The following is a 16,383-nucleotide window of genomic DNA, read 5'->3' on the forward strand; positions in this document are numbered from 1 at the left end:
TAAGCTATCCTCCCGCTTCAGCCTTCCAAGCAGCTGAGACTAAAGGTGCACACCACCACACCCAGCTGATTTTATTTTATTTTTTGTAGATGTGGCGTCTTACTATGCTGCCCAGGCTCTGGAACTCCTGGGCTCATGCGAACTTCCTGCCTTGGCCTCCCAGAGCGCTGAGATTACAAGCAAGCATGAACCACTGTGCTTGGCCCCAGTAACCACAGTCTTAAAAGCAGTAGCAGCAGCTAACATTTATTGAGCACTTACTGTACACAAGGGCTGTTCTGTCAACTTGCCTTTATTTTATTTTATTTTATTTTTTGAGATGGAGTTTCACTCTCGTTGCCCAGACTGGAGTGCAGTGGCAGCAGTCTCAGCTCACTGCAACCTCCACCTCCCCGGTTCAAGCGATTCTCCGGCTGTAGACTCCCGAGTAGCTGGGATTACAGGCTAATTTTTGTATTTTTAGTAGAGATGGGGTCTCGGCCAGACTGGTCTCAAACTCCTGACCTCATGTGATCCACCTGCCTCGGCCTCCCAAAGTGCTGGGGTTACAGGCATGAGGCCTCTATTTTAATTTTCAAACAGACCACCCTGTAAGGGTGGTAGGTAGTATTTTCATCACTTCCATTTTCCAGATGGAGAAACTGAGGCACAGGGCAACTAAACCATTTGCCCAAGTTAACCTGGCTTGTAAGTGGTAGAGGCGAAATTCAAACCCGGAGCTCTGGAGCTTTATCCTGTCTGCCTCCTTTTCAATCTTCGCATGCCCACTTTCTCCACGATGCTGCTTTGCGGTGAAAGTTACTCACCCACCATTTTACAGATGAGGAAATTGAGGCCTAGAGGGCCAACGATGCTTGGGGATGAAAAGTTTTGATGCCTGTAGGTTGCAAAGCAGGGAATTTCCAGACTGGGCTCCCCCGACTGGCCCTGGCAAATATGGAAGAGACTCCAGGCTCAAGAGGGGAAGAAAGTTTCTTCCTTATCCCTCACCGGTCTGGTATTGGTACAGTCAGAGGGTAGGGGCATGTTCAGGGAAGGGGTCTAGCGCCTCCTCGTGGTTATAATAATTTAAAAAGAGGGCCCAGCACTTTGGGAGGCCGAGGTGGGCAGATCACCTGAGGTCAGGAGTTCCAGACCAGCCTGACCAACATGGTGAAACCCTGTCTCCACTAAATACAAAATTAGCTGGGTGTGGTGGAATGCACCTGTAATCCCAGCTACTGGGGAGGCTGAGGAAGGAGAATCACTTGAACCTGGGAGGCGGAGGTTGCTGTGAGCAGATTAGCTGTGTGTGGTGGCATGCACCTGTAATCCCGGCTACTAGGGAGGCTGAGGAAGGAGAATCACTTGAACCTGGGAGGCAGAGGTTGCTGTGGGCAGAGATTGCACCATTGCACTCTAGCCTGGGCAACCAGAGTGAAACTTTCTCCTAAGAATAATAATAACGATAATTTAAAAAGAAACTCCATGATGAGGGCCACGTATTAGGTGGACGGGGGAGGGCCTGCTTACACTCTACTGGGGTGGAAGCTAGGGATGGGGGCAGAGAGACCTAATCTCATGAAGATGATTTCAGCTAATGATAAGGTAATGGCCGGGAAGCCAGTAAATGTTTGTTGAATGAGTTAATGAAAGACACTATTGGGCCTGGCACAGTGGCTCGTGCCTGTAATCCCAGCACTTTGGGAGGCTGAGGCAGGTGGATCACTTGAGGCCAGGAGTTTGAGACCAGCCTGGGCCACATGGCGAAACCCTGTCTCTACTGAAAATACAAAAATTTAGCCACGCATGGTGACACCTATAATCCCAGCTACTCGGGAGGCTGAGGCAGGAGAATCACTTGAATCTGGGAGGCAGAGGTTGCAATGAGCCGAGATTGCGCCACTACACTCCAGCCTGGTCCATAGAGCAAGACAAAAAAAAAAAAAAAAAAAGACACTATTGTAGTCTATAAGGAGAGGGATGATGGTGGCTTGGATTTGGGTGGTGACCATGGACATGGTGATAAAGGGATGGATTTGGGATAAATGTCAGGTGCAGTCAATAGAGCTTTCAATTATTTATTCATTCAACAGGTATTTAAGGGGCATGCCTATGTGTCAGGTGCTGCATAAGAGAGGGGTCAGTAGTGAACCAAAGAAACATAAATTCTTGAACAGACAATAAAGAAACAATGATGAGCGGGTGCCATGGCCCACGTCTGTAATCCCAGTACTTTGGGAAGCCGAGGTGGGAGGATTGCTTGAGGCCAGGAGTTCAAGACCAGCCTGGGCAACATAGTAAAAGCCCCTCTCTGCAAAAAAATTTAAAATTAGCCAGGCACAGTGGCACAAGCCTGTAGTTCCAGCTACTTGGGAGGCTGAGGCGGGAGGATCACTTGAGCCCAGGAGTTTGAGGCTGCAGTGAGCTATGATCATGCCACTGAACTCCAGCCTGGATGACAGAAGAAAGAGCCTGGGCACAGTGACTCAAGCCTGTAATCCCAGCACTTTGGAAGACCAAGGCGGGCAGATCACTTGAGGTCAGGAGTTTGAGACCAGCCTGGCCAACATGCTGAAACCCTGTCTCTGTGAAAATACAAAAATTACCTGGGCATGGTGGCAGGTGCCAGTAATCCCAGCTGCCTGGGAGGCTGAGGTCAGGGAAAACCTGGGAGGCAGAGCTTGCAGTGAGCTGAGATCATGCCACTGCACTCCAGCCTGGGTGACAGAATGAGACCCTGTCAAAAAAAAAAAAAAAAAAAAAAAAAAAAAGCCGGGCGCGGTGGCTCACGCCTGTAATCCCAGCACTTTGGGAGGCTGAGGCAGGTGGATCACCTGAGGTCAGGAGTTCGAGACCAGCCTGACCAACATGGAGAAACCCTGTCTCTACTAAAAATACAAAATTAGCTGGGCGTGGTGATGCATGCCCGTAATCTCAGCTACTTGGGAAGCTGAGACAGGAGAATCGCTTGAACCCAGGAGGCAGAGGTTGTGGTGAGCTGATCACACCACTGCACTCTAGCCTGGGCAACGAGAGTGAAACTCCGTCTCAAAAGAAAAAAAAAGAAGAAAGAAGCCTGGCGCGGTGGCTCACGCCTGTAATCCCAGCACTTTGGGAGGCTGAGGCGGGCGGATCATGAGATCGGGAGATCGAGACCACGATGAAACCCTGTCTCTACTAAAAATACAAAAAATTAGCCAGACGCGGTGGCGGACGCCTGTAGTCCCAGCTACTCAGGAGGCTGAGGCAGGAGAATGGCGTGAACCCGGGAAGCGGAGCTTGCAGTGAACTGAGATTGCGCCACCGCACTCCAGCCTGGGTGACAGAGTGAGACTCCGTCTCAAAAAAAAAAAAAGAAGAAAGAAACAAAGAGAGAAAGAAAGGAAAGAAAGAAAGGAAGGAAGGAAGGAAGGAAGGAAGGAAGGAAGAAAGGAAGGGAGGGAAAGAGGGAGAGAAAGGAAGGAAGGAAAAAAATAACTTAAAAAATCAGATTTGTTGGACAAAGATCAGGGCTTAACCTAGGGAGGTGGGTAGAGCTAATGGAATGCGGAAAAGGCTGTGATTTGAAATGAGGGGATTTAGGAAGACCTCATGAGAAGGTAGCATTTGAGCAAAGACATGTAGGGGTGAGGGAGCTAGCCATGAAGTTGCTTAAGGTGGAGGACACAGCCCGTGCAAAGGCCCTGGGGCAGGGCCGTATGTTCCTGGCATGTTGGAGGAAGAGCGAAGAGGCCCGTGTGGCTGGAGCACAGTGAAGAGGGGGAGAGAGGGAGTGGGGAGGGCAGGGAGGGAACTGGGCAATTCAAGCAGGGTTTTGTGGGCCTTGGGGAGGACTTGGGCTTGTCCCTGGAGGAAAGTGGGAGCCATAGAGAGTTGTGGGCAGAAGAAGGGTGTGCCCTGACTCAGATGCTCACAGGCAACCTCTGGTGGTGGCTGCAGGGAGGACAGACTGTGGGGTACGGGGGCTGGAGTCAGAAGACCAGCTGAGTGATGACGGGGCTGGACCAGACAGAGGAGGGGGTGAGAAGTGGGTGAATTCTGGGTATATTTCAGAGTGTCACTGCCGCCGTCTGCATATGGAGGAAGCTCACCCATCTCATAGTCTAGCTGGCCTGACTCCCCCAGCCCCCCAACTCCCCATGCCCAGGCCTGTGTCGAGTGGGCGGAAGAAAGAGATGTCAGATTCTGCATGGAAGGCGTGGGGTGGGGCTGGGCTGCAGGTGCTCCCCCAGCTCCCCCCCGCCCCATGGCTCCTCCTCCTCCACCCCCTCTCAGGGCGACAGTTACAGGCAAAGAAGAGGAAGTGGTAGCACTAGCTGTCGCTCCACAGGCGAGCAGGGCAGGCGTGCGGGCGGGTGGGTGGTGGAGGCTGCGAGGGTGCACGGCCGGCCCTGGGCAGGCGGTAGCCATGGAGCTGTGGCGCCAATGCACCCACTGGCTCATCCAGTGCCGGGTGCTGCCGCCCAGCCACCGCGTGACCTGGGATGGGGCTCAGGTGTGTGAACTGGCCCAGGCCCTCCGGGATGGTGTCCTTCTGTGTCAGCTGCTTAACAACCTGCTACCCCATGCCATCAACCTGCGTGAGGTCAACCTGCGCCCCCAGATGTCCCAGGTGAGCCCTCCGCGGGCAGGTGTGCTGAGGGTTGGAGACGGGGGTCCTCCCCGGGGCTGACAGTCGAGGGGCTGACGTGCTGCTCCACCTCTGGGCCTGCAAAGGAGAGGGAATATGCTTACAGGTCCAGGGCTGGCCCAGGGGGTGGTCACAATCTGAGATTCTGGGGTGGCCTCCCCAAGCTTAACAGGCTCCCTGTGTGGGTTCACGGGCCCTGAGTTGGCCCGCATCTGGGCTGAGAACTGGCAAACTAGGGGTTAACTCTCTCAAGCCCCAGGCGCCTCTACTGTGGTTCATGCCCCCAGATGGGACCAACCAGAGGTCTCGGGGGAGCTCCCCAGAACCCCCAGGGTGGCCATTGGGTTACCTGAGGCTTTGGACTCCTTTGACCCCCAGAGTCTGGATGTGGGGGAGGAGCCTCCGCCAACATCTTCCCCCACATGTGTCTCCTCCTCCCGGGCCCTGGGCCCCTTCCTTCCCCTTACATCTTCCTTCCCCTTGGCTTCCTGCCTGGGCCTGGGGCAGCATGGGGCAGGTGGGGGGCTGCAGCCCCAGGGATCTGAGCTTCCTCCCTGCATCCATCTCAGAGGAGATAGTAAGGCAGGGCCCAGTCCTGGGCTCAGAGAGTGGGTCCTGAGGTCTTGGTGCTTGGAAGAGCTGCATTTTCTCGGCAGGGATTTCTGCAGGGGCCCAGGCTGGAGGGGTGGTGGTGGATTTGACTGTGGCTGTATGAGACTGGCTCAGGAAATATATTCAAATCCCTATTTGAATGTGGTTGGGTGGGCGTGTGATGTGGCTGCATTATGTTGCTGTAGCATCATGTCTGGTTCCCCAGGGCTGCTGGGTGGGAACGGGGGACGGGGCGGGGCTGGTGGAGTCCCATCTCCTCTGGGATGAAAGGAGATACAGCCCTATCCTGGGGCCTGGGGGACACAGTCCTGCCCTGAGGTCTGAGGGGACAGCTCCCATCTGGTCCTCAGGCTGGCCCTGCAGATGAAGAGCTGGGAGGATAAGTTAATGGAGATGGGCCCATGGGGGTTCCTGGCGGGTGGTTTTCAGGGGCAGGGCCATTGGTGGAAGAGATCCATGCGCCTTTACTCCTTCTGTTTATTTTATTTATTTATTTATTTTTTTGAGACGGAGTCTCACTCTGTCACGCAGGCTGGAGTGCAATGGCACCATCTCGGCTCATTGCAAGCTCCGCCTCCCAGGTTCACGTCATTCTCCTGCCTCAGCCTCCCGAGTAGCTGGGACTACAGGCGCCCGCCACCACGCCTGGCTAATTTTTTGTATTTTTAGTAGAGACAGGGGTTTCACCGTGTTAGCCAGGATGGTCTCGATCTCCCGACCTCATGATCCGCCCACCTCGGCCTCCCAAAGTGCTGGGATTACAGGTGTGAGCCACCGCGCCCAGCCTTTTTTTTTTTTTTTTTTTTTTTTTAAAGACAGGGTCTCACTCTGTCGCCCAGGCTGGAGGCAGTGGTGCGATCTCAGCTCACTGCAACCTTAGCCTCTCAGGATCAAGCAATTCTCCTGCCTCAGCCTCCTGAGTAGCTGGGATTACAGGCGCCCACCACCACACCTGGCTAATTTTTGTATTTTTAGTAGAGACAGGGTTTCACTATGTTGGCCAGGCTAGTCTTGAACTCCTGACCTCAAATGATCCACCCACCTCGGCCTTCCAAAGTGCTGGAATTACAGGTGTGAGCCACTGTGCCCGGCTGCTCCTTCTGTTTTTTTTTATCTTATCTTTTATTTTTTGAGATGGAGTCTTGCTCTGTTGCCCAGGCTGGAATGCGGTGGTGCAATCTTGGCTCACTGCACCCTCCACTTCCTGGGTTCAAGTGGTTCTCCTGTCCCAGCCTCCCAAGTAGCTGCGACTACAGGCACACATCACCATGCCTGCCTAATTTTTTTTTTTTTTTTGTATTTTTAGTAGAGATGGGGTTTTCCCATGTTGACCAAGCTGGCCTTGAACTCCTGACCTCAGGTGATCTGACCACCTCGGCCTCTCGAAAGGCTGGGATTACAGGCATGAGCCACCATGCCCGGCCCTTCTGTTTCTTTAGTGCCAGGGGATTACACTGTCCTCAGCTGGGACAGGGCTTCCTGAAAGGAGAAGGCACTCCCCCCACCAACCTAAGCATCCATCCTCTGGCCACAGCCCATCCCAGCTTTGCCTACATTTGCTTAATCTTCTGGTTTCTAGGGCATGAGGAAGTAGTCATGGGATCTGTTAGGCCCCATCTGTTAGACCTGGCAGGGAGTCAAGCTCTCTGTGATGCTTCAATAGCAGCTAATGGGAAAGTGGATAGACTTAAGGATGAACTTCCATTCTTGTGTATGTCTTAGCTAAAGCTAGTTTTTGGATGAAGGACGAGGGTGCATGATGCTAATCCCTGGGAGAGCAGCTGCACTCCAAATACAGTCCTAATCCTCTGTAACAGGGAACAACGGGAACCCAGATGGGGTCAGGCTTTATGCAAGAGGGGACATTTGTGCTGGGGTTTTGAAGAGTAAATAGGAGTTTTTCTCATTGTTCTGGCTTCCTGTGCCCAGCTGTATCAGGCTCCAGGCTGGGCATCGGTGTACCCAGACCCTTTCCCTCTTCGAGGGGGCACATTCCTGCCCCTACCCATTTTGTTGCCCTTTGAAGCCCGGCCGTGTGTCTGGTATGTAGTGGGGACGTGTGAGGGAAGGTAAGAGGTCTTGACAAGAAGCCAGAGGAAGCTGCCACAGGAACAACCTCTCTGGGTTTCTGGGTGCCTAACTGTCCACAGATTGAAGCAGAGCTGTGAATGCCCCATGGGATGTGAAAGGGTAGAGGGAAAAAGGAAAGGTGCTCCTGTGGAGGAAATGGCATAAATAAAGGTGTGCAGGCTGGAATGAGAATTCTTCCCAGTTTCTGTCATTTCTCTTCGGAGTCCTTCTCTTTTTTCTCAGTTGTTTCTTGGGAAGAGGGTGGAAAGAACATATTCATCCATCCGTTCATCCACCCATCCACTCATTCATCCACTCATCTATCCCTCCAATTATCCATCCATCTACCCATCCATCCATCCATTTATCCATCCATCCATCCATCCATCCATCCATCCATCCATCCATCCATCTGCTCATCCATTCATCCATCTGCTCATCTATCCACCCATCCATCCATCCATCCATCCATCCATCCATCCACTCCTCCATCCATCTGCTCATCCATTTATCCATCCACTCATCTATCCATCCATCCATCCATCCATCTGCTCATCCATTCATCTATCCACTCATCCATCCATCCATCCATCCATCCATCCATCCATCCATCTGCTCATCCATTCATCCATCCACTCATCTATCCATCCATCCATCCATCCATCCATCCATCTACCCATCCACCCACCCATCTATCCATCCATCCATCCATCCATCCATCCATCCATCCATCCACCCACCCATCCACCCACCCATCCATCCATCCATTCATCCATTCATCCATCCACTCATCTATCCATCCATCCTCTCATCCATCCATCCATCCATCCATCCATCCATCCATTCAACCACCCACTCATTCACCCACTCATCCGTCCATCCACTCATCCATCCATCCATCCATCCATCCACTCATTTATCCATCTATCAGTCTATCCATCCATCTACTTTTCCATCCATGTATCCACCCATCCACCCACCCACCCATTCACCTATCCACCCACCCATCTATCCATGGATCCATCCATCCACTAATCTGTCTTTTTTATTTATTTGTTTATTTATTTACGGCGTCTCACTCTGTCACCCAGGCTGGAGTGCAGGGGCATGATCTCGGCTCACTGCAACGTCTGCTTCCTAGGTTCAAGCAATTCTCCTGCCTCAGCCTCCTGAGTAGCTGGGACTACAGGCACCCGCCACCACGCCCGGCTAATTTTATATTTTTAGTAGAGATGGGGTTTCACCATATTGGCCAGGCTGGTCTTGAACTCCTGACCTTGTGATCCACTCGCCTCAGCCTTCCAAAGTGCTGGGATTACAGGTGTGAGCCATACGCCCGGCCCATCCATTCATCTATCTATCATCCACCTGCCCACCCACCCATCCATCCATCTACTCATCCATCCATCCATCCATCCATCCACCCATCCCATCCATCCATCCACTCATCCACCCGTCTACTCATCTATCCATTCATCTACCCATCCATCCATTCATTCATCCATCCATTTATCTGTTTAACTATCCATCCATCCATCCATCCATCCATCCATCCATCCATCCATCCATCCATCCAGCAATGACAAGGTCTGCCAGGCCCTGTTCTTGGTGCTGGGGACAGTGGGAATAGCACACACACACAAAAACCCCTGTTGTTGAGGAGCCTGCATTCTAGTGGGGGAGGCTGACAGTGAAGAAATAAGACAATGTATAAGTCATCAGGAGGTGGTATGTACTGCTCTGGAGAAAACAAAGTGGAACAGGGTATGAGGGGGGCACTTTGACGAGGAGGGCTAGTGGTAAGGTGACATTGCAGCAGAGACCTGGGGAAAATTAAGGAATGAATCATGTGGATCTGGGGAAATGGTGTTCCAGACAGTGGTTACTGCCAGTGCAAAGGCCCTGAGGTAGGAGCCAGTCAGTGCCTGTATGTTCAGGGCAGTGACTGGCCCAGCTGGTGGGAATGGTGCAGGAGGTCAGGTTGGATGAATCTCCAAGCGGCTGGTCCCCTTGAGATCTGAGGCCCAGGGAGAGAATGATACCATCATGAGAAGCCACAGCTATACTGAGACACCCAACTCTCAATTATGAATTTTGTTTTTTTTAAATGAGACAGAGCCTTGCTGTCTCCCAGGATGGAGTGCAGTGGCATGGTCCCAACTCACTGCAGCCTCCACCTCCCAGGTTCAAGCAATTCTCCTGCAGCAGCCTCCTGAGTATCTGGGATTACAGGCGCCTGCCACCACGCCTGGCTAATTTCTGTTGCCCAGGCTGGAGTACAGTGGCATGATCTTGGCTCACTGCAACCTCCTCCTCCCGGGTTCAAGCGATTCTCCTGTCTCAGCCTCCTGAGTAGCTGGGGCTACAGATGCGTGCCACCATGCCTGGCTAATTTCTGTATTTTTAGTAGAGACAGGGTTTCAGCATGTTGGCCAGGCTGGTCTCGAACTCCTGACCTTAAGTGACCCACATGCCTCGGCCTCCCAAAGTGTTAGGATTGCAGGCGTTAAGCCACCACGCCCAGACACCACTGTGCTCTTGAAGTCCAAAATCTGGGCTGCGGAGATGGAACTTGAAGGCCAAGAGACTGGAGAGGAAAGAACAGATGGTTGGAAAGATCCACCAGGACATGGGAGCTGGTTAGACCTAGGATGTGGGCAGCTGCTGGGGCCAAGATGATGTTAAGTTCCCCAGCCCCAGTGAATAGTGGGGAGAGGGTGGGACAGTTAGAGTAGGGGGTGGACTGGGGAGTGGGTTGGGTGGTGGCTTTGGAGAGCCACACCTGGGTTCAAATTCTGGTACCACCACTTCCTGGTTTCACCTCTCTGAGCTTCAGTTTCTCCATCTGTGAAACATAGATAAAAATGGCACCTTTTAAGGCTGGGCGGTGGCTCACGCCTGTGGTCCCAGCTACCCGAGAGGCTAAGTGGGGAGGATCACTTAAGCCTGGGCTGCAGTGAGCTGTGATGGCACCACTGCATTCCAGCCTGGGCAACAGAGAGAGACTTTGTCTCAAAAAACAAAACAAAACAAAACAAAACCCAATTTTGCCTGGGTGTGGTGGCTCGTGCCTGTAATCCCAGCACTTTGGGAGGCTGAGGTGGGAGAATTGCTTGAGTTCAGGAATTCAAAGCCTGGTAACATAGTGAGACCCCGTCTCTACTTTTTTTTTTTTTTTCTTAAGAGACAGAGTTTTGCTCTGTCAGCCAGGCTGGAGTGCAGTGGTATGATCACAGCTCACTGCAGCCTCGAACTCCTGTACTCAAGCAGTCCTCCTGCCTCAGCCTCCCGAGTAGCTGGGACTACAGGTGTGCACCGGCATACCTGGGTGATTTTTTTGTTTGTCTGTCTGTTTTCTGAGACAGGGTCTCAATCTGTCACCCAAGCTGGAGTATAGTGGTATGATCACAGCTCACTGCAGCCTCGAACTCCTGTGCTCAAGCAGTCCTCCTGCCTCAGCCTCCTGAGTAGCTGGGACTACAGGTGTGCACCAGCAATACCTGGCTAATTTTTTATTTTTTGTAGAGATGGGGTTTTGCTATGATGCCCAGGCTGGTCTTGAACTCCTGGCCTCAAGCAATTCCTCCCGCCTTGGCTTTCCAAAGTGCTGGGATTACAGGCATGAGCCACTGCACCCGGCCAGAATAGAGGTTCTTATCTCCATCCTCCCATAACAGGAAAGATGACACATGCCACCCACTGCTCTATGCTTGCTTTCCTCACTAATCACCTTGGCAGTCTTTCCAAGTCAGTCTGTAGAGATTATAATTATTCTTTATAACATGACTGCGTATTCCATTTATTTCAAGAAAGACTTACATTTTGCTCGCCCTGTGCTAGACATTAGTCTAAACCAGGGAGGGGCCTGGCTGGATGCAGTGGTTCAGGCCTGTAATCCCAGCACTTTGGGAGGCCGAGGCGGGAGGATTGCTTGGGTACAGGAGTTAGAGGCCAGCCTGGGCAACAGAGTGTGACCTCGTCTCTATAAAAATGAAAAATAAAACTAAAATAAAGCTGGGGGCTGGGTGCGGTGGCTCATGCCTATAATCCTAGCACTTTGGCTTACAGGTGTGAGCCACCGTGCCTGGCCCAATTATAGCTTCTAAAAAATAATAAAAGGCCGGGCACGGTGACTCACACCTGTAATTCCAGCACTTTGGGAGGCCGAGGCGGGCGGATCACAAGGTCAGGAGATCGAGACCATCCTGGCTAACACGGTGAAACCCCGTCTCTACTAAAAATACAAAAAATTAGCCGGGCGTGGTTGCGGGCGCCTGTAGTCCCAGCTACTCGGGAGGCTGAAGCAGGAGAATGGCATGAACCTGGGAGGCGGAGCTTGCAGTGAGCCGAGATCAGGCCACTGCACTCCAGCCTGGGCGACAGAGCAAGACTCTGTCTTAAAATAATAATAATAATAATAATAATAATAATAATAATAATAATAATAACCTCATCCATGAATCATTTTCCAGCTCCTCTGCTGTGTGATCTTGGGCACATTAGTAAACCTCTCTGTTTCCTGGTTTCTCATCTGTAAAATGAGGATGCTAAATCCCTATTTACAGCATCATTGTGGGGGATAAGTGTATTATTATAAAGAACCTAGAAAAGTGTTTAGCTGCATATGCAGTTGTGTGTTGCTTAATAAAAGGAATCTGTTCTGAGAAATGCGTAGTTAGATGATTTCACAGTTGTGTGAACATCAGAGTACATTTACATAAACCTAGAGGGTACAGCATACTGCACACCTGGGCTATATGGTATAACCTATTGCTCCTAGCTACAAACCCGTACAGCATGGGACTGCACTGAATACTTACCATTGCATTAAAAGATTGCCTTCTCCTTTTCTTTCTTTTTTCTTTTTTTTTTTTTTTTGGGACGGAGTCTCACTCTATTCCTCAGGCTGGAGTGCAATGACGTGATCTCAGCTCACTGGAACCTCCACCTCCTGGGTTCAAGAGATTCTCCTGCCTCAGCCTCCCGAGTAGCTGGGATTACAGGCACGTGCCACCACATCCGGCTAATTTTTTTGTATTTTTAGTAGAGACAGGGTTTCACCATGTTGACCAGGCTGGTCTTGAACTCCTGACCTCAGATGATCTGCCCGCCTCAGCCTCCCAAAGTGCTGGGATTACACGTGATAGCCACCATGCCCAGGCGATTTCTTATCATTTATACCATATTTTATACAAAGATTTCTTATCTTTCTTTTGAGACAGAGTCTCACTCTGTCACCCAGGCTGGAGTGCATTGGCACGATCTCTGCTCACTGCAACCTCCACTTCTTGGGTTCAAGTGATCCTCCTGCCTCAGCCTCCTGAGCAGCTGGGACTACAGATGCACACCACCAAGCCCACCATTTTTTAAAGTAGAGATGGGGGTCTCACCATGTTGCCCAGGCTGGTCTCAAACTCCTGGCCTCAAGAGACCCTCCCACCTCGGCCTCCCAAAGTGCTGGGATGATAATCGTGAATCATCGTGCTCCACCCAGTCCTCGTGTTTTTATTTTTCAAATTTTAAGACGTTTTATTTTGTCAACCGAAGTGCTAGCCAATCTTTGTGTTTTTGATAGATATTGCCAAATTGTTATCCGTCTGGGATTGTTTCCATATGAATTATTTCAATTATACCACCACATGCCAGAGGACTGGCTTCTCTGCCGCCTCCCCGACAGACGGTTCTGTTGCCAAGATTCTGGAGTTTTGCCAGCTGGATGGGAAATCAGTGGAGCTCATTAAGGCTCAGTTTACATTTTCTCTTATTCTGAGTGAAGCTGAGCCTCTTTCCTTATGTTTAAGAGCTATTTATATTTTCTTCCTGTGATACAATCTCTGTTCATATCACTTGCTTACTATTGTTGCACTTTCTAGAACTACTGACCTTTTCTCTTACTGATTTTTTTTTTTTTTTTGAGGCTGAGTCTTTCTCTGTTGTACAGGCTGCAGTGTAGTGGCGCAATCTCAGCTCACTGCAACCTCCGCCTCCCAGGTTCAAGTGATTCTCGTGCCTCAGCCTCACAAGTAGCTGAGATTACAGGTGTGCGCCAAGATGCCCAGCTAATTTTTGTATTTTTAGTAGAGACAGGGTTTCGCCATGTTGGCCTGGCCGGTCTCAAACTCCTGACCTCGAGTGATCCACCCGTCTTGGCCTCCCAAAGTGCTGGGATTACAGGCATCTCTTACTGATTTTTAGGAGCTCTTTATATATAGGTTGACTTAAATTGCAAGTCAGGTATTTGCTAGCTTTGTGGTCTTGGAGAAAAAAATAATTACTTAACCTATTGGATCCCTGATTGTCTTATCTATAAAACAGGAAATCTATAAAATGAGAATGTTGGCCGTGCACATGGCTCACTCTTGTAATCCCAGCACTTCGGGAGGCTGAGGTGGGGGATCACCTGAGGTCAGGAGTTCAAGACCAGCCTGTCCAACATGGCGAAAGCCCAACTCTACTACAAATACAATAATTAGCCGGGTGTGCTGGTGGGCACCTGTAATCCCAGCTACTCAGGAGACTGAGGCAGAAGAATCCCTTGAACCCAGGAGGCGGAGGTTGTAGTGAGCCAAGATTGCACCACTGCACTCCAGCCTAGGCAACAGAGTGAGACTCCATCTAAAATAAATAAATAAATAAATAAATAAAAATAAAAATAAAATAAAATAAAATGGAAATGTTGACAGTACCTTTATTTCAGAGTTGTGTAAGGATTAAACATGATAAGGTAAATGAAATTCCCAGCATGGCAATTAACATATAGTGAGTGCTAAATGAACGAGAGTCATTATTTTTGTTAATTTAATTCCATTGAGTCCCAGCTGCCTGTAGGCAATGGTATATAAGTCAGGGTACGTATGTTAACTGCTGTAACAAATTGCATCATTTTGCCAGGCACAATGGCTCACGCCTATAATCCCAACACTTTGGGAAGCCAAGGCAAGGCTAATCGCTTGAGGCCAGGAGTTTGAGACTAGCTTGGGCAACATACAAGATCCCCATCTCTACAAAATATATATATATATTAGCAGAGCATGGTGGTGTGTGCCTATGGTCCCGGCTACCTAGGACGCTGAGGCAGGAGGATCACTTGAGCCCAGGAATTGGAGGCTGCAGTGAGCTATAGATCGCGCCGCTGCAGTCCAGCCCGGGTGACAGAGTGAGATCCTGTCTCGGAAGAAAAAAAAAAAAGGCCAGGTGCAGTGGCTCACGCCTGTAATCCCAGCACCTTGGGAGGCCAAGGCAGGTGGATCATGAGGTCAGGAGTTTGAAACCAGCCTGACCAATATGGGGAAATCCGGTTTCTACTAAAAATACATAAATTAGCCAGGCGTGGTGGTGTATGCCTGTAGTCCCAGCTACTCAGGAGGCTGAGGCAGGAGAATGGCTTGAACCTGGGAGGTGGAGGCTACAGTGAGCTGAGATCATGCCACTGCACTCCAGCCTGGTGACAGAGCGAGACTCCGTCTCAAAAAAAACAAAAACAAAAACAAACAAAACCAAACCCTCAAAACACAAAACCAAATTACATGACTTCAGTGATAGTGAGACTTTACTTCTTATTGATGTCACAATTCAGTTTGGGTCAATGTCAGGGGTTGGGGGAGGAGGGCTCTATGTTATAGAGTCTCTCTAGGGCCGAGGCTCCATCATCTCATGGTCTTAGCTTCCCGAAGGCCCTTGGAGTCTTTTCTACTGGGGAAAGAGCGCTATGAAAGAATTTCCCAGGCCAGGCCTGGAAGTGGCGCCATCACCTCCATCCTTTTTTTTTTTTTTTTTTTTTGAGACGGAGTTTTGCCCTTTTCCTCCAGGCTGGAGTGCAATGGCGCGATCTCTGTTCAGTGCATCACGGCAACCTCCGCCTCCCAGGTTCAAGTGATTCTCCTGCCTCAGCCTCCCAAGTAGCTGGGATTACAGGCATGCACCATCACACCTGGCTAATTTTGTAGGGGTTTCTCCATGTTAGTCAGGGTGGTCTCGAACTCCTGACCTCGGGTGATCCACTCGCCTCGGCCTCCCAAAGTGCTGGGATTACAGGCGTGAGCCACCATGCCCTGCCTCCATTCTTGTTATTGGCCAGAACTTGGTCACATGGCTCCATTTAACTACGAGGGAGACTAGGAATGTGGTTAAACTGGAGCTGGGGATAAAAAGGAGATAGGTTGGTTGGACGCAAAGAAGTCACTGCCGTAGAACCTCAGGGTAATGCCTCACTGGCTCCAGAAATGCAGGTATGGAGCGGGTTTCAGGAATGCAGGTCTAGGGCCAGGCATGGTGGCTCATGCCTGTAATCTCAGCACTTTGAGAGGCCGAGACAGGAGGATTGCTTGAGGCTAGGAATTCGAGACCAGCCTGGGCAACATACCAAGGTCCCGTCTCTACAAAAAATAAAAAAATAAGCCCGGCATGGTGGTGCACGCCTATAGTCTCAGCTACTCAGGAAGTTGAGGCAGGAGGATCGCTTGAGCCCAGGAGTTTGATGCTGCAGTGAGCTATGATTGTGCTACCACTGTACTCCAGACTGGACAAAAGAGTAAGACCCTGTCTCTAAATATATCTATGCAGGTCTGTGGAAATCTCAATGGGATGTAGAATAAGAAGGACCTGAGCCAAGGCCATGGGGGAGGAATTCAGCTGGGGATGAGGGAGCTGGGTGATAGCAACTTCAGCAAAATGGGTTGGGCTGATTGGAAAACCTCCTCTTACCTTGCCTGCTAGGGCCAACAGGAGGGGCATCTAGGAGGGTCAGCACTTGGCACCATCCCTTTCCATTCCATTCTGTTCCTTTTTTTTTTTTTTTTTTGAGACAGAGTTTCACTCTCTCTCCCAGGCTGGAGTGCAGTGGCACAATCTTGGCTCACGGCAGCCTCCGCCTCCCGGGTTCAAGCGATTCTCCTGCCTCAGCCTCCTGAGTAGCTGGGATTACAGGCAAGTGCCACCACACCTAGCTGATTTTTGTATTTTTAGTAGAGACGGGGTTTCACCATGTTGGCCAAGCTGGTCTCCAACTCCTGGCCTCAAGTGATCTACCCGCCTCGGCCTCCCAAAGTGCTGGGATTACAGACGTGAGCCACCATGCCCAGCCTCCATTC

The 16,383-nt window shown here is 50.7% G+C and overlaps 1 protein-coding gene across 4 annotated transcripts in view, besides 4 other annotated features; it reads left to right on the forward strand.

Annotated features, from left to right (window-relative positions):
* Positions 4,110–4,359: a silencer, noted in NCBI's record as "silent region_9969". NCBI's record gives its function as "represses an Ori minimal core promoter by ATAC-STARR-seq in GM12878 lymphoblastoid cells {active_cell/tissue: GM12878}" and the evidence as "EXISTENCE:reporter gene assay evidence [ECO:0000049][PMID:35858748]".
* VAV1 (vav guanine nucleotide exchange factor 1) overlaps positions 4,291–16,383 on the forward strand; it is an 84,654-nt gene continuing 72,561 nt past the window's right edge. For all 4 annotated transcript variants that reach the window (NM_005428.4, XM_005259642.2, NM_001258206.2 and 1 more), the window contains exon 1: positions 4,291–4,594. In NM_005428.4, the coding sequence (NP_005419.2) occupies positions 4,391–4,594 (204 nt within the window). In that variant the 5' untranslated portion in view covers positions 4,291–4,390. The remainder of the gene's footprint in view (positions 4,595–16,383) is intronic.
* Positions 4,521–5,021: an enhancer, noted in NCBI's record as "H3K4me1 hESC enhancer chr19:6772949-6773449 (GRCh37/hg19 assembly coordinates)". NCBI's record gives its function as "activates a minimal SCP1, AML or CMV promoter by ChIP-STARR-seq in primed H9 embryonic stem cells {active_cell/tissue: H9 hESC(primed)}" and the evidence as "EXISTENCE:reporter gene assay evidence [ECO:0000049][PMID:30033119]".
* Positions 5,130–5,179: an enhancer, noted in NCBI's record as "active region_13864". NCBI's record gives its function as "activates an Ori minimal core promoter by ATAC-STARR-seq in GM12878 lymphoblastoid cells {active_cell/tissue: GM12878}" and the evidence as "EXISTENCE:reporter gene assay evidence [ECO:0000049][PMID:35858748]".
* Positions 14,288–14,460: a silencer, noted in NCBI's record as "fragment chr19:6782716-6782888 (GRCh37/hg19 assembly coordinates)". NCBI's record gives its function as "represses an EF-1alpha promoter that drives an FKBP-Casp9 reporter gene in an ReSE screen in K562 erythroleukemia cells {active_cell/tissue: K562}" and the evidence as "EXISTENCE:reporter gene assay evidence [ECO:0000049][PMID:32094911]".

The sequence above is a fragment of the Homo sapiens genome, chromosome 19 (genome assembly GCF_000001405.40).
Source record: "Homo sapiens chromosome 19, GRCh38.p14 Primary Assembly".
NCBI classification, from domain to species: domain Eukaryota; kingdom Metazoa; phylum Chordata; class Mammalia; order Primates; family Hominidae; genus Homo; species Homo sapiens.